Source organism: Homo sapiens, chromosome 4 (assembly GCF_000001405.40).
Source record: "Homo sapiens chromosome 4, GRCh38.p14 Primary Assembly".
NCBI lineage: Eukaryota > Metazoa > Chordata > Mammalia > Primates > Hominidae > Homo > Homo sapiens.
This window is the reverse complement of record NC_000004.12, coordinates 7,372,805-7,396,042: the sequence shown is the minus strand read 5'-3', so window position 1 is coordinate 7,396,042 and position 23,238 is coordinate 7,372,805. Positions and strand designations below refer to the sequence as shown.

Below are 23,238 nucleotides of genomic sequence, written 5' to 3'. Positions count from 1 at the left end.
CAGTGACATCCACACAGTAGCTGCCATTTGTTGGAAATAATTCAAACCCAGCCCTGGACAATCCCAAACTGTGGCAAAGGGAGTGCCAGGGCAGTGGTCCCTATGTGAGGATGGAGCGCATTTGGCAAGGCTTCTGGAGACAGGGCTCTGTCTCCACCAGCGCGTTAGAGGATCCCCTAAGCCTGCTGGAAACAGCTGCTGGGGCTGCCACCCAAGACCAGAGCAGGTCCCTGTGGTCCGTCTGTCATTACTTGTCCTGGAGTGGTGCCTGGGGAGGCACAGCCAAGATGCTTGGGGGCCCAGGAGTCCTCTGTGGCGCACACACGTTTTTCTTGTTGTTGAGACCATTCATTCATTCATTCATTCATCACACACGGGGCCCACCTGACCACGCTGTTTGCATTTCAGGCCTGTGCAGAAAATGCAACTATTTATAAAAATGAAAATAAAAGTGTTTAGGAGCACCTAACTGTCTTTTGAAATAACTGTGTAAACAAAAAAAGTTGGGGGGTGGGGAATAAGGATGCACCGGCCCTGATGGGAAAAAGATTTTCCCAATTACTGCACCAGCCACTGCGTTTTCATGTACATCAAATTTCATTTCACTCACTGCCAGTCCCTGTTAGCTGTTCCTAACACTCCCATGGCTAGGGTAGCCCCCGGGAGGTAAGATGGGAACAGCTTTGGGTTTTGGAGCAGCTGTTAGCCTCGTTATTTGGGGTCACCACCCTGGTCATCCCCAACGGTCGGGCTCCTCCGTGGAAGCAGAGCTCCCTGCGCTCGGTCCTAAGGTGCCGTTTCCACAGATGGCAGCTGGGCTGACCTAGTATCTTTCTTTCCCTGGTGATTTGAGCAGGGAGGACATGAGGAGGGGCTGTTGCCCGAGATGGGACAGTGTGCATCTTACAGGCGGCGATGATTTAAAAAAGCGAGGCCTTGTCAATCAAGGCCAGATTGGCTATGCCATGCTCAGGAACAAAGCGATTTTCTCTTGTCAGCTCACAGCCTGCCGTCAGAGCCAGGTCCCTCCGAGGAGTGGGGAGCTGACAGGGTGTGGACTTTAACCCATTGATTCATATTTGATATAGTCACGCTGTTCCCAGAGGGGATTTTGTACAGCCTAGAGTGGCAGCTGGAAGGGACCTCAAAGTCTGTTTGATCCGGCCCCATCCAGGAGGAAATCCCTGCCCCCTCCCAATCTGATCTTGGAGCAGTGAGATCCAGGCTCTGCCCTGGCCTCGGGGGGTGGAGCTCGGCTCTGGAGGGCACCCTGCCTTTCTGCAGACTGCTGGGTTTGGGGCGCACCCTGCTGTGAGGCTGGCTTCACATCCCCGTCACTCCTGCCTGTACCTTCCAGCTCTGCCACTGTGGACAGTCACCCAATCACCCAGCAAGACTGCTTCCTCCTCCCCCTCCCTCGAGGGGAGAGTCCCCACCAGTCCACCCCCTCATTCTAAACCCCAGCATTTGGGGCCTTTGCACAAGGCGTTCCTCACCCTGGGATGCTCTTCCCCAAATCCCCCAGCCCTATTTCCTCGGTGAATTCCTGCTGAACCTTCAGATCTCAGCCTGACTCACACCACCCCCAGGAAGGCCCCCGACACTGGGCTCAATGCCCCCTCCATACACCCCCCCTCCAACCCTGCCGGACCTCCCTGCAACCCCACACAGCTCACAGGGTCTGCTTCTACTGCTGAGGGATAAACTGTTAAGGGTGGGGACCTTATTTATCTCCCCAGTGCGGGGCACAGCACCTGCCATATAACAAGCACTCACACCACTCACTGAAAGAAATACAGGTGACTTTACCCAAAGGAAGGATCGTTTATGCAGTGAAGTCGGGCAGAGGCCAGTGCCCACCTCCCCACCACCACCGCACTCCTTCCATCAAGAGGACCCCCTTCCACTCTGTCTTGGGGACAGAATCGTTCTACTGGCTTCAACCGACCAAGCCAAATGGGACTTTGGGTTCCTGCGGCGTTGGCTTTGCCCAGGGCTGAAACAAGGAGGTCGCCCAGGAAGGGCCAGTGCTGGAGAAGCCAGACAGCAAGGCAGCCCCACCACGCCCTGACTCGGCAGTCATCAAGGAGAAGGACCTGACTCGGCAGTCATCAAGGAGAAGGACCCTGAAGTGAGGTCAGACCACCCGGGTTCCACGCTTGGCTCTGCACTAGCAGACCGTCGACCTCAACACAGCTCAGTTTTCCAGTCCATGATGATGCCACGGTGACGATTAAATATTCAGTAGCAAACGTGAAATGACCCATAAGCCATAGGAGCCGTCGTCATTCAGAATAATGATAGCTAATAACCACTGGTTTCAGCCCTGCCACCGACGAGCCCCACAGTTACAGCAACCCCCGCAATGCCCCAGGGATACCGAAGAGGTGCTGCCCCCATGCCCCCAGGAGCCACATGTTATTATCCCTGTTTTACAGATGAAGGAACTAAAGCAGAGAGCGCTTCAATATTTTGCCAAAAACTACACACTCAGCAAGCGGCAGAGCTAGAATTTGATCCCAGGCAATTCGACGTCAAGCTTGGGCTCTTCACTGCCACACTGAAAGCCTGTGTTTTCAGAAGAAACTTCCATTAAAAGTAGTTTCAAAGAACCAACACTTACGACATGCCCTTCTGGGGCCCTCAGCTAACAGCTTTGGAAATGAAATATCCCCGGGACAGTTTTTTTCAGTGGCTGACGTGTTAGCCTTGGGGCTCTTTGATCTGGGTGGGAGAAAAATCGGGAATGTGAGTCAGGGCCACACAGCTCCGGCCATTGCCAAGGGTCTCCTCCCATCCAGAGGCTGCCTGAGCCCGCAGCCCACAGGGATCTTTCCCAGACGGCCAGGAATGTCCAAGCAACAGACGAGGAAAGAAGAGCTACTGCTGTCCACAAGAGGTCGGCCGCGGCTGCCACTCATCACTTCAAAGGCTCGTCAGGATGCACGCATCACCCCACGTCTCATCCTCTTGCCTCCCGTCCTCCCGGCCGTGGGGAAGGCAGTGCACGAATCTGTTCCTATTCTCCCAAAGCCATGTCACCAAATGGGCCAGGGAGCCAGGGTGCTGGGTTCCAAATCTATGCCAGCTCAGCCTGTGACAAGCATCGACTCATCCACTCTCTCGCAGCACCCCCCCCCCCCCGACTGGGAGGGGCCCATATTACTGTTCTCACATTACGGCTGAGGAAACTGAGGCACAGAACCGCCCAGTGACCTGTGGCATCGCACACAGCAGAGCCAGGAGCTCTTGTGCCCAGGCCCAGGGCTTTTATGGGTTTGCACTTCATTGCTGCCCTCCCCCCTCTGTGATGCCTGCCTCCTAAGCACGGGACAAGCAGATGCCCAGGGCTCCTCCGATGCACTACCACCCAGGACCAGCCCAGCAGCCCTGCACCCTGAAAGGTCAACCCGGGACCCCAGGCGGAGACCTCAGCTTCTTTGGAATTCCCGAACCTGCCCGCCCCTGAGGCTGCCAGGCAGTAAGCTCCATGACAGTGGGGACTCACCCACCCCTAAACCCCCGTGAGCCCAGCACAGAGCGGAAAAATCCATCAGTCTTTCCTTGAGTAAATCAATGAGTGGGTGAGTCCATGAGGACATGAATGAGCATCCATACAGCAGCTGATGCAGACAGGAGGGAGAACCTGTCCTTCAGGCCCAGTCCCAGCCAACCCCAAAGCCCCTGATGTCCGGGGGCTCCCCGCAGAGCCCATCACCCGCTCCTCCTGACACCTAAGGGTGGGGAACATGCCCTGTCCTGGAGGCCCAGGGCTCCTTCACAGCAATGCCCATCCTAACCCTCAGGGGACGGGCTCCAGAACCCTGGGAGACACAAGGCTTCACCTTCCTTAGCCCAGTGAGAGCCCACACGAGGAGTTCCACAGCGTGGAGTGTTCCAGATAGCCAGGACCAGGGCCAGGTCTGCAACCTGCGCAGCCACGAAGCCCCTGAGCTTGGTTTCATGCTCTGCTGTTGCTGTCTTGAAATTCTTGAGAATGTCTGAACGAGGGCTTTGTGTTTTCACTTTGTGCTGAACCCTGTAAATAACAGGGCCGGTCCGGCAGCAGCTGCCACTCCTCTAGCTTCTGCGAGTTTCAACGCTCCTCCAGCCCTGCTAATGGTTAGGGACTGTGTGTCTGCAGGGCACCCCGATTTTATTCACCCATTGTGCACCCACCTCCCTTGCAAGTGAGGGCGGATCTGGGTGAGGGGCTGGAAGGAGGTGTGTCAGATTCAACAACAGAGCTCACAGGAACTCAGGATGCCATCACCACTGCTTCATTTTAGAAATAAGGAAACTGAGGTTCAGAGAAAAGAAAGGGTTTGGCGGGGACAGACCCTGGTCCTGGTAGATCCACATCCACAGCCCAGCCCCCACGTCCACTGACTCTCGCTTTATTCCAGGGAAGGGCCTGCTCGCTCCCTCAGAGGGACTGAGGGTACCCTTCCCCAGAAGGAAAAGAACCCTGAAGTCCACACTCAGTTCCTGGAGAGACCCTAGGCCGGCCATGGAGCCCCACCCCCTGATCACCACAGCCGGCCCCACCTCCACCACACAACTCAGTGCCAAGCCCTGTGCTGGGCTCATAGGAGGGTCCTCTGCTCTGTGCTGAGCCGTCCAACTTGCCTGGAGATGAGGGGCCTGGGCTACGTCTCAAAGCTCCGGCAGTGGGAGGGAGCCGAGGCTAACCAGCCTCGGACCCACAACGGCATTAACAGGACTTTCTGCTGCTCTGGGGAAAGGGGGCTGGCTCAGAGGAAGTCTCAGCTCCAGGGCTGATGGGCCAGCAGCAAAGTCGTCAGCGTCTTCACCTGTGAACAGCATGAACTGGGAGGTCAATGCTGTCCTTACCAGGTGGCCCTGGCAGAGTGGGCACTTCTCAGATGGATTAAAATAAAACAAAGAGGGTGTGATGCAGGGTGGCCAGGCTCACTGAGCCTCGGTTTCCTGATCTGAGAAATGGTGCTAACTTGGAGACTGCGGGAGGGTCTCCCCATGTCTTTGTGTCCATCCACACAAACTTAGACCAGAAATCAGAACATAGACGCCCAAGGCTCAGCCCCTCCTCCCTGAGTGGTCACTGGCACGTTTCTGAGTTCGCAGAGTTCGCGGTTTCTCCACCTGTCAATTGGAGGAGTTGCTCCCTTCCAAAAACTAGAGCCGATCGATGCCTTTAGAACCCCCAAACATCATGAAATCTGTTCAATTCCAAACCTAATAACATGCCCTGGGAGTTTCTAAAAGACCATTTTCATAAACTGCTCCACCAAATCCTTTCCCCAATGTAACCAGCATCCACCAGGAACGAGGTCAGCTGTTCCATAATCCGGGGGTCAGGTTCACCATTCACCATCCAAGGGAAGTTCACGGTGCCTCCTCTGAGACCCTGGGCCACTTCCCTCTGCTCTTGTGCAGTGGGGCCTGATTCAGCAGCACGGCAATGGCCCCGGGTACAAGCTCCTTACGGAGAGACGCGCAATAATCCCTTTGGAGAGACACACACTGAGGTTTTCTGAGCCAGCCTGAACCCTGGCCCTGCATGAGCGCCCAGTTCCCCCAAGCTTCGTCTTTACCAGGTTTGCTCTTCAGGAGCACTCGGCATCGCCTCTTCAAATGTGCCCCTCTTAAGACAAGAAGCAAGAAACGTTCTGAGCACCTCCAACTTAGGACACTGAGTCTTCCACACAGCCAGTGGGAAATGATTGTGAAGCAGCCTGACACATGGCTGCCTTTCGGAGGCTCAAGAATCATCAAAAAGACAGACAGACTCAGGCCCAATTCAGTTGTCAATCAATACACATAAAGCACCAAATACTACTACTAAAAGACTGCAAGAACTTAGTGTTGATTGCCAACTCCAAAATCAATACCCCATTGAAAAAGGGAGAACTTAAGGTCAGTGTCCAAGGCCCCTGAAAGCCCGCAGTGTCACTGAGGTCTCCCTGGCTAAGCTGCACAGCCGTGGGCCTCCCCCTCACAGTGGGGACTGGCCATGCAGCTTCCCGGGAGCTCCTGGAAATGCAGACCCACAGGCAGCCCCACCCCAGGCCTGCAGAAGCTTCATTTCGTCGCTCACATTTGAGGGGCTACCCTGGCAAGGCATCCCCAGGAGGGAGGCCCGCACCCCTGCTCACTGTCCTTCAGCCTCATCAGGAAGCCGGGGCTCCTCCCATCCCTCAGCAGTCTGGTTCCCTCCACTCTCACTACCGCGGACTGCACTCCAAACACACCCCCTTGGCCATGAGCTCCGGCCTTGACTCTGTCACCCACCCCGCAGGCATTTGCATACTTGGATCGCTATGCTCTCCCCTTTCTCACTTCTCCACTGCCTCCCTCCTGCTCATTCTCAAGGCCACCACCTCCTAGAAGCCTTCCCTGACCACCCTGTGCACCCCAGGAGGGGAGGAACTGCGTCAGCCTCAGACACCTCCATCTCCTGAGCCTCACCAGGGCCGGCACACAGGGAGTGTCAGAATGATCATTGCTGAGTGAATTCATCAGCAGCAGGCTGACTCAGAAAAGCCAAGACCCACTCCTGGTGAGGTCTTTCCTCACCCCCGCCCCATCTGTGTACTCGTCCAGGTGTGGACATGGACCCTGGAATCTGTAAGAAGTCCCATCAGTGGGGCCCACGGGCAGTGGCCGGCCTGAGTCTCAGACATGCCTCGCTGGTACGGGTCACGTCACTCAGGCCCAACTCAGACCCTCGCCTGTCCCGGGATCACACAGGATTTGGCCAAATTCACTCCACATCAGTAACTCCACACTCACCAACTGGAGCTGTTCTTAAAGAGTTACACTGGTCTGGAGACCACCTCACCCGCCAGCCAACATGGACGAAGACCTCCAGCCAGACAAGCTCCACTGCCAGGGACTGAGGGAAAGAGCGCAGGCAGGATGGGCAGGAACAGAATTTGTTCACCAACAAGCCGCTTTCCAAGACCTCCACACGCACTGCCCGTGGGGGCAGGAATGATCCACCCGCAGTGGGGCACGGGCAGAACCGCCAAGTTAAGCACGAGCCCATGTGCCTTTTGGCCTGGAGATCCCATTTCAGGGAAGCTATTCCATCGAAGTGCTGTGCATGGGAAATGAGGGATGCCTAAAGTCCTTCACCACAACACCACAACACCACAACACCACAACAACCAGAGACCAGAAATAACCCACGCATCCACCAGCAGGGCCTGGGGGGATCGCCGGGGGTGCTCACCACTCAAGGCAGCCCCGGGCACCTGTGTGGATGGGAAGGACGAAAAAGGATGTGTCGGAGCCGATGCAGGGAGATCTCCCGTGCCCACTCTTACGTTCACAAGCGGGAGAGGTCAAGGGCACTTCAAAATGGCTAAAGAGGTGAGTTTCGTGTGACATGAATTTTATCTCAATTTAAAAACAATCTGTATTCACCTCTGCTTGAAGAAACATGGTGAAATGCTGGAAGGAAACACAGGAAATGTGATCAGGTGGACACCTGTGGGTGGGGAAGCGGGGAGGGATAACAGGAGGGAGACTGGGAGATTTCAACTAGAGACCCTTTAGTAGTCATGACATTTGGAACCATTTGGCTGTATTACCTATTTCAAAAACATTTTTCAAATAAAATAAAGAAGACTCCTCCTTTCAAAGCCTCCATTTCCCCTCCCCCATCGGGCGGGTCCCAGAACACAGGTGGCTTTTCTCATCTGGCCAAAACCACCCAGGACCAGCTCTCTGCTGGTTAAGATTCTACCAAGAGCAGCCAGAGGGGATTCAGGCTGAGTCTGTCATTGGGGTTTTGTTTGTCCTCCCAGTCACTGCAGCTGCTCTAGTTAGGAGCAGGAGCCAGGCCAACACGGAGCCGACTTCTGCAGGCCGTCTACCTGTCTCCCAGCTTCAGGTGTGGGGGCATCTGTGCGCATGTGTGCATCTGTGTGCACATGTGTGTGCATGTGTCTGTGCATGCATGTGTGTGCATGTGTGTGTGTATCTCTGTGTAACTGTATGTGTGTGCATGTGTGTGTGCATGTGTGCGTATCTGTGTATCTGTATGCATGTGCATGTGTGTGCATGTGTGCATGTGTATCTCTGTGTATCTGTGTGTGTGTGCATGTGTGTATGTGTATCGGTGTGTGCATGTGGGTGTGTGCATGTGTGTATATCTCTGTGTGCCTGTGTGTGCATCTGTGTGTATCTCTGTGTACCTGTATGTGTGTGCATGTGTATGTATGTGCATGTGTATCTCTGTATCTGTGTGTGCATGTGAGCATGCATGTACCTATGTGTGTGTGCATGTGTGTATTTCTGTGTATCTGTGTGTGCATGTGTGCAAATGTGTATGTGTGTGCATGTGTGTGCATGTGCGTGTGTATCTCTGTGTACCTGTATGTGTGTGCATGTGTGCATGTGTATGGTGGGCATGTGTGTGCGTGTGTGCAAATGTGTATGTGTGTGCATGTGCGTTTCTCTGTGTACCTGTATGTGTGTGCATGTGTGCGTGTGTACATATGTGTATGTGCATGTGTGTGCATGTGTGCATATGTATCTCTGTGTACCTGTATTTGTGTGCATGTGTATGTATGTGCATGTGTATCTCTGTATCTGTGTGTGCATGTGTGCATGCATGTACCTATGTGTGTGTGCATGTGTGTATTTCTGTGTATCTGTGTGTGCATGTGTGCATGTGTATGGTGGGCATGTGTGTGCATGTGTGTGTGCATGTGTGCATATGTGTGTATCTCTGTGTACCTGTATGTGTGTGCATATGTGTATGTATGTGCATGTGTATCTCTGTATCTGTGTGTGCATGTGTGCATGCATGTACCTATGTGTGTGTGCATGTGTGTATTTCTGTGTATCTGTGTGTGCATGTGTGCATGTGTATGGTGGGCATGTGTGTGTGCATGTGTGCATATGTGTGTATCTCTGTGTACCTGTATGTGTGTGCATATGTGTATGTATGTGCATGTGTATCTCTGTATCTGTGTGTGCATGTGTGCATGCATGTACCTATGTGTGTGTGCATGTGTGTATTTCTGTGTATCTGTGTGTGCATGTGTGCATGTGTATGGTGGGCATGTGTGTGCATGTGTGTGTGCATGTGTGCATATGTGTGTATCTCTGTGTACCTGTATGTGTGTGCATATGTGTATGTATGTGCATGTGTATCTCTGTATCTGTGTGTGCATGTGTGCATGCATGTACCTATGTGTGTGTGCATGTGTGTATTTCTGTGTATCTGTGTGTGCATGTGTGCATGTGTATGGTGGGCATGTGTGTGTGCATGTGTGCATATGTGTGTATCTCTGTGTACCTGTATGTGTGTGCATATGTGTATGTATGTGCATGTGTATCTCTGTATCTGTGTGTGCATGTGTGCATGCATGTACCTATGTGTGTGTGCATGTATTTCTGTGTATCTGTGTGTGCATGTGTTCATGTGTATGGTGGGCATATGTGTGCGTGTGTGCAAATGTGTATGTGTGTGCATGTGTGTGCATGTGCGTGTGTATCTCTGTGTACCTGTATGTGTGTGCATGTGTGCATGTGTATGGTGGGCATGTGTGTGCGTGTGTGCAAATGTGTATGTGTGTGCATGTGTGTGCGTGCACATGTGTATCTCTGTGTACCTGTATGTGTGTGCATGTGTGCGTGTGTACATATGTGTATGTCCATGTGTGTGTGCATGTATTTCTGTGTATCTGTGTGTGCATGTGTTCATGTGTATGGTGGGCATATGTGTGCGTGTGTGCAAATGTGTATGTGTGTGCATGTGTGTGCATGTGCGTGTGTATCTCTGTGTACCTGTATGTGTGTGCACGTGTGCATGTGTATGGTGGGCATGTGTGTGCGTGTGTGCAAATGTGTATGTGTGTGCATGTGTGTGCGTGCGCATGTGTATCTCTGTGTACCTGTATGTGTGTGCATGTGTGCGTGTGTACATATGTGTATGTCCATGTGTGTGTGCATGTGTGCATATGTGTATGTGTATGCGCAGGCAACAGAGCCACTCCAAAGTGTGGCTGCTCCACTTGGCAAAGTGGATGTACCCCAGTCTGGCCACAGCCTCCCTCCTTTCTGGCCTCCAAAACATGAGGAAGATGCTCATTTTCATGCCAGTGGGGCTGGTACACACAGCAAAGGGGAAGACTAGATGCTGGTGGAAGCATTCGGTCAGTGCTCAATAAGTGTGCATTTCCTTTCTCCCCCAGCAAGGGCCACTTCAGACATCTGGTCCCAATCGAGGCAGGTGGCCAAGGCTGGCTTGGCAGTGCCCTGCCCCTTCAGGTGGTACTGAACAAAGGTTGGATCAGTGTTATACCCCCGAGGCAGGAGCCTGGAGCTGGCGTCTGTCCCTCACCACATGGGAACGGTGGTGGCTCAAGCTGCCCACCTCTCAGGAGGGTCACCCTCACCCAGGCCCAGCTTTGCTTCCCAATGTGGGGCAGGGCGTCAGACCCCATGGAAGAGCACAGGCCTTCCTCCCGAGTGCAGAGTGGCACTCTTCAAGCCCCAGCTGTGATGGACTCAAACCACATCAGCCTGAGGCCAAGACCAGCCCCCAGGGAGCTAGGACAACAGGCTCGGAAGCTCTCTCCAGCCCGCATGAAAGAGAGGACTTCCTGCTGGCCCCTTCCCTTCAACAGTGCTGGCTGGGCTGGCCCATCCTGTGGTCCCTGAGGAAGCCAGCTGGCTCAGTGCTGGGCATCCCCATTGCACCCTCATCCTCTATGAAGAAATCAATTCCATTTCAAAGACACTGATCCTGCATTTATTTACCAGGGAGAGGAATATCGTTTCTTTCTACTAAAGACCCCTGAGGGGAGGGGTGGGTATCACATTAGGCTCAAAAAGCCACAGGAGGTGCTGGCTCTCCAAGGGATGCGGCCTCACTCAACACTGCTGCCAATGCCGCTGCCCACCCTGCAGACCCTAGGGCTTTGGCTCAGTCCTACCCATACACCCCTGAGTGCCACCCACCCTGGCCCCTGCTCCACAGAGCCCTCCTGGATTCTCCAAGCTTGGGATCCACAAATGCCCGCAGAGCATCCCTGAAGGCTCTCCCTCCAAAGTGGAGCCATCAGAGCTGCAGTGAGTACAGGCCTTTCCCTCTAAGAATCTTCTGCTGAAGCTGAGCCGGCGAGCCTGGACCTCCACCTGCCTGATTCCTCCTCGAATGCAGTGTCCGCGCCCCCTGCCCTCAGGCATCTCCGCAAAGGGCTCTCCTCTGAGTCCTGGCCCTTCTACGTGCCCGTGCCTGCTGTGCAGTCCTGGGCAAGCCACTGAGCCTCACAGAGCTGAAGCGAGGATGCAGGGAGTTGGCCGTGCAGTGTGTCCAGAGGGAGCAACCGGCACAGTGTGAGGGTCAGCCAGGAAGGAGGTGGGAACCCAGAACACACTGTCTCCCAAGAAGGGTCTTGGGTGGAGCCGGACGTTCAGCTGGGTTGAGAGATGTCCTCCAGCCCTGTGGTGTGGACACGGGTGGTTTGCCTTAAGCCACCTCACTGACACCTGTTACCCAGCGCGGTTGAGGCAGAGACATTTGCAGGGCCCCGTGTACGCACCTTAACCCCGTCTCCTTCCCACAGCCAGCCCCAGTCCCCCGAGGTCTGACCTGCAGTGGAGGTGCACTGTGGGCAGGCAGGATGCCTCACCCAAGATGCCTGGACCAGAAAACCTGCCACTTCTCGTCACCGTCTCATTAAAATAAATGACTTCCTCTGTCCTGAGCCGCATGCTGAGCACTCTATGGACGTTATCTCTTTCAGTCCCCCCACAGGCCTTGTCCCTGGGAACCATGTTGTCCCCATTTGGGGGAAGTTGAGGCACCGAGAGGCATTACCTGCCCCAAGTCTTGCCACTCACGCAAGGAGGGCTGGATGGCAGCTTTGGCCTCAGACTCCACCATGCAGCCCTTGGGCCTCCACCAAGGGCCTCTGCAGGGACTGTGGGAGGAAGAAGGCCCTTCATGCACAGGCATTGGACACCTTCACAGGCACGAAACCCAGTGTCTGAAATAAAGAGAGCTAAGAACGAAGCTAAGAAAGGGCCTCATAAATCAAAATCAGTCAGCAGCAAATAAATGGACGGGTGCTGCTGATCTGTGGAAAATTGCATTTTTACATTAAATCTGTTTAAGGGATAATGTATATTTTAATAGGTGGGTCTTGGTAGACTTTTCCACCTCAGCTGTCCTTTGAAAATATTATTTACTCTCCATTTCTCATAACCTGATTGAATTTTAATTTCACCCGTCACTCCTTTTTAATAGTCACTGTAAGTAAAATTATTAATGAAATTACAAGCTGCTGTTTTGGTTTTTTTGTTTTGTTTTTTGTCGTTGCTATTCAAAATGTGCTTCTACCTGGAAGGGTTGGCATTGCTCAGGTCTATTTATGGCAATAAAAGGTAATCGGATAAGCTGTGATGTTGTTAGTGCTGAGCGTCTTTCGACATAAAAAGTGCCCGGGTATCTCCGGGAGGTGGGTGGAAATTGCTGATCCTGTTTTTAAAGCAGAAATCCCTCCCCAGGCTCCAATGCTCTCCCCCTCCCTGCTGGTGCCCAGCCAGACAACCATATGTTCATTACCTCCAAGAATTTCTCTTTAGAAACAACGCTGTCATGTCTGAACAGAGGTGCCAGGCACAAAGGAAGCGCTGCCTCTTGCAGGGGGAGGAGGGGCGGGTGGAAGAAGTCACTGTCTGCATCCAACTGCAAAGACCCAGATTTGGGCACAGCAGCCTCTGAACAATGTCCCTTGGCCTTAGGGAACCCAAGCAGGCTGTGGACCTCTAAAGGCCTACCCCTCAGAATTGTCAGGAAGGTAGAGGTTGGAGGTTCTGATGCCAACTTGGGAAGAAGCCACACAGAGCCCTCTTGAGCTCCGTACCAAATTATCTTCTCAAGAAAGCTGCTGGGAGAAGCATCCATGACACGAGGCCCTGTTTTGAAATCCGCCCCTCAGCAGCCCCGCGGGGCATGAGGACTCCGTGGGATCGAAGCGCTGGAGTCTTCATGGCCTTTTCCTCCATTAAAAAATATCAGAAGGTGTATTTTATGGCTGTGTTGGTATTTAAAAAATAGCATATCTTCATATTATAGATCAAAACATTTTCTCCACCTAAAAGTTCATTTTTTCTTCTTCTGATCTTAAAGGAAATTAAAGCATGTGTGTGGGTCCGTTGATGTTGTGCGGACCCTGGCACGGAGCCCTGTGCCAGCAGGAGGCGTGGGCCCCGCAGCTGTTTACACCCACCGTCCCCAGTTCTGGCCCCTTCTTCTCTCCCTGGGCCACTGGACAGCCCCAGCCCTGCCCCCCAGACCTGCAGACCATCCCCTCCAGCCCCCGTACGCTGATTCTCAAATTGAAAAGGATCATGATGCCCCTCCCCTTACCCAGGGCAGGAGTTTTGTCATTTTCTCCAGCTGTGGACCCTGTTAAGAATTTCGGGAAAGTACTAAACATACAGGCATGTCAGCATCATTTTCTACCCCCTTTCAGGATTTGCAGTCCAGTCTGGGACCCAATCTATGGAGTCAATAAGGCCTTCCCGGCTCCCTGGCAGGGAGGACTGGCAATCAGCTTCAAACTCAACTCGGGGATCTGGTGCAGCCCTGGGGCTGTCTCAGGAGGGGCCTGTTCTCTGCACCTTACAGGGGCATTAACCCTGGGGCAGCCGGAGATGTCACTTGGGAACTCACTGTACAACCAGGGATGTTATATAAATACCAGTGAGGATGATGGCAATGTCACTCCCAGGCTCAAACATGATCAGGGTCTCCCACTGCCCAGATGCTAAAGTTCAAACCCCATCCCTGTGGTCAAGACCTTTGGAGACCAAGACCCCCATTGCTCCCCGCTCAGCTCCAGGCACCATCAGCTTTGCCCTGCTCTGAGGGCTGGCTCACCCCACACCCAACCCAAAATGCCTCCCCGCTCCACCAGCAGCACCACCCACCCTTCAAGGTCCTTCTGGAGGCCTTGGAGCCCCTCATGCCTGGGCCTTTCCCGAACGAGGTCCCATCTTTGACCCGACTCCCTTCCTTCCTTGTGTCCCTGGTCCTGTTCACCTGCCTGTTTCCTCTGGAGACTCCACAGGCCTGGCCCAGAGAGGCTAGTGGAATGGAGAGCTTGGTGCCTGGTCATTCTGCTGTCTGCCTGCTCTGCTGGTTGAAGGCTGTGGCCTGCCCCACTGTACTGCCCATCCTGGAGCCTAAGGCTCTCTGGCCCTGGCTCCTGGCACATGGTGGCCTTCAGGCTGCACATGGCTGCAGTCCAGGGTTTGTGCACTGGGGCTGGAATGTCAGTGGGCTGGGTGGGGGCGGGAGTCAGGAATGACCCTGTCCCTTCCAGAGGACATCTGGGGAGGCTTGGGATTAGAAGAGCCTGCTCTTCTGGGAAATTGTTTCAAAGAGAAGGTTTACATCATTCTGTGAGTAAGAGAGTTGGCTGCCTGAGGGGTTCCTCTTATCCATCCACACCTGCACAGCCACCCTCCCTCCGCCAGGGACACCACACTCACGGGGGACAGCCTTCACCAGGGAGGAGGAGGAAGAGCCTTTGGGAAACTGGGCTTCCTGCAGGGAGGGACCCTTTCAGGGGCAGCCCCCACAGGGCAGCCTCTGATGTCAGCTTCGGGGAAGGCTGGCCTCTAACACTGCGTGGCTTTGGACACAGTGTGCTCTTCTTCTGGGGAAGCACCCTCCAGCTCTGTGCTCCGCCCTCCAGCTCTGTGCTCCGTGTGTCTCACTGGCAGCCCTGTGCTGGAATGCTCTCTCAGCTGGACCTGCGAGTCAAAGCGGCCATCCCCTCCAAAGAGAGCCAGGAGTCACTGTCATGTCATCGACCAAACAGCTCAAGAAACCCAATATCTGATCATTCAGGGACTATCTTCAAACATCTGCACCAGAATCACCCACCAGGAGGATACATCATGAAGCTGTCATTGTTAATTAACCCACTCCTTTTTTTTTTTTTTTTGGAGACAGAGTCTTGCTCTATCACCCAGGCTGGAGTGCAGTGGCGCAATCTCAGCTCACTGAAACCTCTGCCTCCCGGGTTCAAGCGATTCTCCTGCCTCAGCCTCCCGAGTAGCTGGGACTACAGGCACCTGCCACCACACCCAGCTAATTTTTGTATTTTTAGTAGAGACGGGGTTTCACCGTGTTGGCCAGGCTGGCCTTGATCTCAACATCGTGATCTGCCCGCCTTGGCCTCCCAAAGTGTTGGGATTACAGGCGTGAGCCACCGCACCTAATTAACCCACTTCTTTAACACAAGTAAGCAAATTTCACATCACGGCCATAAATAGAAAACAAACATTACTTGTCATCCATAGAAGGTAACTACAAAAATAAACAGCAATAGCTTGCAGAAGACAAGCTTGAGGCCTACGCCCCGCCCTGACTTTATTAAGGAGGAACGAGGGGGCTGCCACAGGCAGTCTAGCCACGGGTCAGCAGAGGATGACGGAAACCACATTGACGTCCTTGCCCTGGGCTTTAAAGCCATCAGATGCTCTACTCCAGCCCCTCCTCAGCAACAGAACTACCTCACTTTGGAAAACACTCAGTTTCTCTTGAATTTGAATTCAGAATCTCCAACACCAGCTTCCTCACCAGTCCCCAGTAATAGCCCAGGAGTCCGGTGACGGGGAGCTCGCTACCTGTCCAGTGCAATTCCAACATGGCAGGAAACAGCTGTGAGACTGTTGGCAGGACTCAGCACCTTCAGCTTCTCTATGAAACCACAAAAGCCTGTCCCCTGTGAATGTTACTTGTTTAAAGCCAGACACCTCTTGGGGCCCCCAGACAAGCTCCCTATGCTCAGACAGCAGAGATCTCAGAACCAGGCTCCTGTGGAGGCTCCAGGTAAGCCCCCAAACCCCAGGCTGGGGCTGAGCACGTCTCTGACAGCAGCACCCCATGGCTTCTGTCTACCCATCTCCGGGCTTTCTGAGGCATGAGCAACCATAACCCAGCCCATTTTGAAGAAATGGCCATTGTTGAGCAACCTTTGGTGACCCGTGGCTCTTCCAAGCCTGTCCTCAGCCAGGCTCTGGGCATCAGGAAAGCAGAACGGAACCGGCAGACTGGGGATGGGGAGCCAGGGACCAGGAGGAGACAAATCATCACACTCACGCACTGAATGTCTGAGCTGAAGTATTTTAAGAAAAGTATTTTAAAAATAGCATTTGGTGATGTCTAAAAAGCAAGTTTCTGCAGCTGCCTTCAGCGTGTTTTCTAGGCATGCCACAGCCTGAAGGAATACAGGCCCTTCATAGAGGTCTTGGAATAAATCTGACAAACAAAGCAACATATTTCCCAGTGAGTCCCTTGCCTCTGCTTAGAGAACGAATCTAAAAAGCCACAGGGTCTGGAAGGTTCTCCTTCATTTGGGCTATGTGGCTTTGGGCAGGTTACCCATCCCTCTGCAATCATACCATCTGCAAAATGGACACCCATAGTATCCGCGTGTCTATTGTGAAGGGTGTTTAGTGGGGGAACTGATAACACAAGAAACTCATTTGTGAACGGGAAAGCCTCAGCCATACATCACTGTAATTGCAGCAGCCCAGCCAACAGCCTTTCCATGTGCACAACTCACACGATGGGGCGCCCCCACTCCCGAAGGCCCTCCTCACGCTTATCTGAATACGCCTCTCGTGCTTCCACCCATCCACCCCAGCTCTGCCTGGTGCAACCTCGCAGGCTGTGTTTGCTCCCCAAGGCAGCCCTGCAGATGCCCAGTGGTGATCCTGCCCTCCCTCCTGCCCTCCCAAGGCTCAGGATGCCCCAACTCTTGCTGAACCTGCTGCACCCTGGGGAGTCAACTGCAGCACAGGTGCGATTTCTGAAAGGATCCTCCTTTTAAAGGCAGGCCCACACGGAGAGCTGGCCCATACTCGGATGTGCCTCCCTCCAACCTGGCATCCTTAGCCACATCCCAAGCACAGGATCTAGGAGGCAACAGAATCTCACAATAACCCAGGACATCTGCTTTAGATGTGCGTGATCAGCGTGTAAATCACACGCATAAAACAAAGGCCGGGGTATGCATATTACCCGAGAATGAAGGTGCATCTAGGGAGAGGCTGTCTTTTGCTGTCCATCCCACTCAGCCAGGGTCAATTAAAAAGGCCAAGAATGCATCCGTGTCCATGGTGGCCAATAGGGCAAGAAGAGGAAATGTGGTCTTTCCTCTCATTCAGGGTCACAGAATGGGCCTGGACCTGATGCGGGCAGACTTGGGATAACTCTCAGCTGCCCACGGTGGTCTGAGGGAGGTGGGCAGGGTGGAGATGGGGAGCAATGCCTCAGGGATGACACATGCAAAGCCTGGCACACAGGTGTTCTGGTAGCAGTGTGGGGGGGAGGAACCTGCTATGGTTGGGCTCTGTGTCCCCACCTAAATCTCACCTTGAATTGCAATAATCTCCACGTGTCAAGGGCGGGACCAGGTGGAGATAATTGAATCACGGGGGTGGATTCCCCCATGCCATTCTCGTGATAGGTGATAGTGAGTGAGTTCCCATGAGATCTGAGGGTTTTATAAAGGGCTTCCCCCTTCGCTTGGCACTTCTCTCTCCTGATGCCATGTGAAGAAGGACGTGTTTGCTTCCTCTTCCACCATGATTATAAGTTTCCTGAGGCCTCCCCAGCCATGTGGAACTGTATCATCCCTCTTTTCTTTATAAATTACCCAGTCTCGGGTATTTCTTCATAGCAGTGTGAGAACAGACTAATACAGAGCCCCAAAAAGGTGCCTTAAATTATCTGAATGGACCCCTCCGATGATACACATTAGCCTGAAGAGAAGCAATGGAGTCAATTTCAACAGAGATGTTAGTCTCACCCGAGGTTACTTTCAGACACCAAATTCATTTCATTTTCATGGCCATGAAGAGTCACAAGCCTACCCACCCCATCTGTATTTGATATAAATATGCCTGTAACAAATAAATGCAGCTTTAGCTTCTCCATGTAGTTCAGCTAGTCTAATTATAACTAAAAGCAGAAGAAAAAAACCATATATCCTTCTTCATGAAAATCGGGGTATATTGTGACTTATTTGGAGAGAAGAAAATCATGGAAGGGTTAAGTTTCTGGACACAAAAAACAAGATCTTCATTTCTGAAATCTAATTTAAAAGATCTCCCCAGGGTGAACTCAATGTATCTTCCACGGAAGGACGAGGACGGGAACGATTCTGCTGGGACCCAAACATATGGCTGAATTCTGCCTTAAGTATATCAAATAGAAGGCTCCCTTCACTGGCCCGACTTGTTATAAAACAGACCTGTCAAATCAGGCTCCCCATGTAAACTTCCTGAGCTGATTGAGCTAAATCACACGCCTGGCATTTCATTACCAGCTGTGGCGGAGGGCATTCTGCCATCCTGGGTGAAGGAGAGCCCTGCCGCCATCACATCAGGGCTAAAAACAGAGCCATCTCCATCAACTTGACAAAGACAAAAAACTTGAATTAAGAGCCCTGTCTAAAATTAACAGTGATTGAAAGTTAATGATGGAACAAATTTGGCAGAACTATTTAAACATGCATCAGGATGTGGTCTCGGCTTTCAGAGGGGAAGCTGAAGTGATGAATGTCTGTTGAGCGCCTGCTGGGAACGTGGCATGTGGCTTCATGCGGTGTTCCCTTCCACCGGAATCAGACCCTTGGCAGAAGGTCCGATCTGTCCCCCCCGTCACAGCCCCAGTTCTGGAACTGGGCAAACACATCTGCTTGTCAACATTCGAAGCTGTATCTAGGTGCTCGTCAGCAGCATTTCTTTATAACAAGCCAGAAACAACCCCTACTGGGGAATGGTTCCATAAACCATAGCATAACCATTTCATTCAATCAACGATACAAATCCGGAGGAAAAAAAAAGACAAACAATGTTATGAGAAAATACCCATGGTACAATGTGACATGAACAAATATTTGAAATTACAGACACAACATGTCCTCCCTATACTTCCACACGCATACAGAAAACACATGCTTATATGCCTCTTTCCTCCATGAGACTATAAACTCTTTGCAGGCACAAACCACTTTCACAGCCCGAATCCCAGTGCAGAGCCGGTCTTCAGGCTGCACGTGACTGCAGGCCAGGGTTTGTGCACTGGGGCTGGAACATCCGTGGGCTGGGTGGGGGTGGGGGTCAGGAATGACCCTGCCCCTTCCAGAGGACATCTGGGGAGGCTTGAGATTAGAAATGCCTGCTGTTTTGGGAAATTCTAGACACTATATGAGCAGCAAATACCTGTTTAACTCAATTGGAGTGTTGGTCACGATCCCTTCTTTGTAAGTCGTAAAAAGTTTATTCAGGCATACCTATGTATAAACCCACAAAGACATGCATATGTATGGACACATAGACATGCGCAGAAAATGAACCAGAAAAAAATATGCCTGAGTGAGAAAATAATGACCTCTGGGTATTAGTGAATTGGTTTTGTTTGTTTTTATTTTTGTTTTGAGACAGAGTCTTGCTTTGTCACCCAGGCTGGAGTAAAGTGGCGCAATCTTGGCTCATTGCAACCTCCACCTCCTGGGTTCAAGCGATTCTCCTGCCTCAGCCTCCGGAGTAGCTGGGATTATAGGCGCCCACCACCACACCCGGCTAATTTTTGTATTTTTCGTAAAGACGGGGTTTCACCCTGTTGGCCAGGCTGCTCTCAAAGTCCTGACCTCAAATGATCCACCAGCCTTGGCTTCCCAAAGTGCTGGGATTACAGGCATGAGCCACCGTGCCCAGCCAGTATTTTTTTTTTTTTTTTACTCTTTGCATATTTTCCAGCTTTTCTATAATAAGCATGCTTTATATTTACAACCAGGGAAAAATTGTACTACAAAAGAGATCCTGTTTGCTCCCATGGCACACAGAAGCAGAGTCCTGCCCAGGCAGGCTTCAGCGTGAATGGAGATGCAGAGGTCAATTGTCACCAACTGCACTCCTACCATGTGCCAAGGACTGCTTCCAGACCTGCCTGCATTGGATTCTCACAGTCACCTAGCTTATGTGTTTGTATCACAAGCATTTACCTAGAACTTTCTAAGCTATAAGCATTCACCTCATTTAATCTCCATAACAACCTCTGATTAGGTATTACTATCCTCATTTGCCACTGAGGCCCAGAGAGGCAAGTAACCTGCGCACGAATAACAAGCGGCCGATGGTAGGGAAAGTGACTTGAATGAGACACAGGAAGAAGCCACTTGCACTCGACACAAACCCCAGACATTTGTCCTTGTCCACTCCTCTGTGGACACACAGTGCCGGCAGCCAATAATCCTCACAGTCACTTCTAATAGGCTTTGGGGTGGATGTGTATTGCAGTATTGCACATGCATTTTTGTTTTGGTTTCTCTTTTTTAACTGCTTTCAGCTGCTATTACCAGTGACACAAAGCTGGCTCAGGCTGGTTCTGGGCAGCCAAGCCTGAACTCAGATGTTCCTCCATGCAATCGAGGAAGTGCAATCTGGCATCTCATCCATGCACACGGGCATCGCTCCCATGACTGGACATGCGTGAGAAAAGGCTTCTCACTGGCTGGGCCCAGCCATACCAGATCTTGCTTCAGAAATCCCACCGCGGTATCCTGCTGATGGCCCCGCAACGCTGCAAGGCCCAGGGAACTGAGATCTCTCACCCAACACGGGATGTAGCATGAGAGTTTCCATGCCCAGAGACAGAGGCGCATGGAGCTGCCTTGATGATTCTAGAATTTCCATTTATCATCTGAATGAGACACTGATATAAATGTCCAACACCCTTATTCAATGATTCTGTATCCCCATGCCTGACTCAAGGGACTAGGAAAGGACACAGAGGTTCTGTCAGAGGCGGACTTTCCCTCTGATCAGAGTAGGGAGCTCCACTTCATGGGGATGACCCAGAGAGGGTGATGCAGGGGAGAGTCCCAGAAGCCAGAGTTAGACAAGGCAGCCTCCAAGTCCCTTTCTCATCGAATCACCATGACTTACCCTGCACATTCCACACCCTCGTCACTATGCCAGGGACCCCAGTGATCAGTGGATTTGCTCAGACATTGCCCTCTGAGGATACAAATGTCAATTTGCCTGAAACAAAATCCCAACCCCAACAGCAAAGTGTCCACTGTAAAGGTGAGCTCCAGCCCAGCTCCAGGCCTTGCCCGCAAGCCCATGCAGACCACACACCCAGCACAGGGTCACCTGCAGCAAAAAAGCCTCCCCCCACCCGCGGTCTACCCAGGCAGAGAGGCTGGAGGGAGCACAAGATGGCTGTGGGGCCAGGTGACGCTGTGGGACTCTAAGCCTGAGCCTGCCAGGGAGGTGACCGAGACACTGTACAAGCCACCTCTGACTAGTTCCTGCAAATGTGTGGGCTGTTCAGCGATCGGGGACCCCAGCTCTTGGTCGTTACTGAGAAAGCAACCTTGGCTTCGGGAAGGATGGGGGCAAGGCCTGGACGTGGCACAGACAAAGGTGAGTTTGGCTAGATGGTGTGAATCGAGTAGAAGTGGGCAGGCCAAGCCACTGCACCCGGAAAAGCAACACGCAGACAATGTCTGGGGAACGTCCCAGGGCTGCTGCCAATGCTGCCAGCGTGGCACCCGATTTTCATTGCAACGGGAGAAATCCACCTTGCTCATGATGTGAGCACGCCACTTTCAGACCCGGGCTGGTACGAGCTCAGCTTTGCACTGCCCTTCTCCCTCTCTCACATGGGGGAGGAGCATTTCCCCACAAGCCTTGCTGGGCCAACTCAGTCCCTCTCCCAAGAAATTATCCCACATCTCTCTTTCCAATACCTTAGTCATTATAGTGGTTCCCACAAATGGTGCTGATCAATTGAACGTCTCTCTGCAAAAAAGAAAGAAAGAAAGAAAGAAAGAAAGAAAGAAAGAAAGAAAGAAAGAAAGAAAGAAAGAAAGAAAGAGGGAAAGAAAGAAAGAAAGAATCTCAATCCTAACCTTGCACCACAGACAAAAATCAACTTAAAAGGGATCCTAGACCTAAATGTAGACTCTGAAACTGTAAAACTTCTAGAAGAAAACAAGGGGGAAGAAATCTTTGTGCCTTTGGATTAGTCAAAGAATCTTAGATAAGGCATAAAAGCAGGAATCATAAAAAATATTAATCTATAGATAAACGGAATTCATCAACATTTAAAACTTAAGTTCTAAGGATGCTAAGAAATGGAAAAGCCACAGACTGGGAGGAAATTTTTGCAAAGTACACATCCAGCAATGGATTTGCAGTCAGAATATATAAAGGGGCCAGGTGTGGTGGCTTACACCTGTAATCCCAGCACTTTGGGAGGCCGAGGCGGGTGGATCACTTGAGGTCAGGAGTTCGAGACCAGCCTGGCCAACATGGTGAAACCCCATCTCTACTAAAAATACAAAAATTAATTGGACATGGTAGTGTGGCCTGTAATCCCAGCTACTTGGGAGGCTGAGGCAGGAGAATCACTTGAACCTGGGAGGTGGAGGTTGCAGTAAACAGAGATCATGACACTGCATTCCGGCATTCCAGGGTGACAGAGCGAGACCCCGACTCAAAAAAAAAAAAAAAAAAAAAAAAAAAATATATATATATATATATATAAAAGTTTCTCACAATTCAATACAACAAAGACAAACAACGTACTATAAAATGACCCCCAAATTTGAATATTTGCTTTACCAAAGAAAACAGATGGGTGGCAAATAAGCATATGAAAAGATGCTCAGTATCATTTCTTATTAGGGAAATGCAAATTAAATCACAATGCAATGTCACTACACACTTATTAGAATGACTAAAATTTAGAAGTTGAAAAAAGTGCTGAAGAGGACGTGGAGCAACCAGAACTCTCATACCTTGGTGTTGGGAATGCAAAAGGACACAGCTTCTTCGGAAACAACTTGGCAGTCTCTTATAAAGTTAAACATATATTTATCATATCCAGCCATGTCACGGCTACGTATTTAAGAGCAATGAAGCATACATCCACACCAAGACCTGCACACAAACATTCAGAGCACTTTATGCATGATAGGGGAAAAAAAAAAAAAAAACAGAAACCACCAAGATGTCCTGCAGCTGGCGACGGATCAGCAGCAAACTGTGCCTCATTCACACGATGGAAGACTGCGTTGCACCAAAGAGGCACGAACTCCTGACGTCACGAACAGACATGCCAGCACCAACAAATCACAACAGGACTGCGGGAGTGAAAGCAGCCAGGCCCGGAAGGTCACAGATGCTGTGTGATTCCAT

General features: G+C 51.7%; 1 protein-coding gene across 8 annotated transcripts in view, besides 1 other annotated feature; it reads right to left on the bottom strand.

Moving 5' to 3' along the window:
- The window catches only part of SORCS2 (sortilin related VPS10 domain containing receptor 2), a 550,290-nt gene that overhangs the window by 346,785 nt on the left and 180,267 nt on the right, over positions 1–23,238 (bottom strand). The gene's annotated exons all lie outside the window — the stretch shown is intronic.
- Positions 14,396–15,099: an enhancer, noted in NCBI's record as "H3K4me1 hESC enhancer chr4:7382671-7383374 (GRCh37/hg19 assembly coordinates)". NCBI's record gives its function as "activates a minimal SCP1, AML or CMV promoter by ChIP-STARR-seq in primed H9 embryonic stem cells {active_cell/tissue: H9 hESC(primed)}" and the evidence as "EXISTENCE:reporter gene assay evidence [ECO:0000049][PMID:30033119]".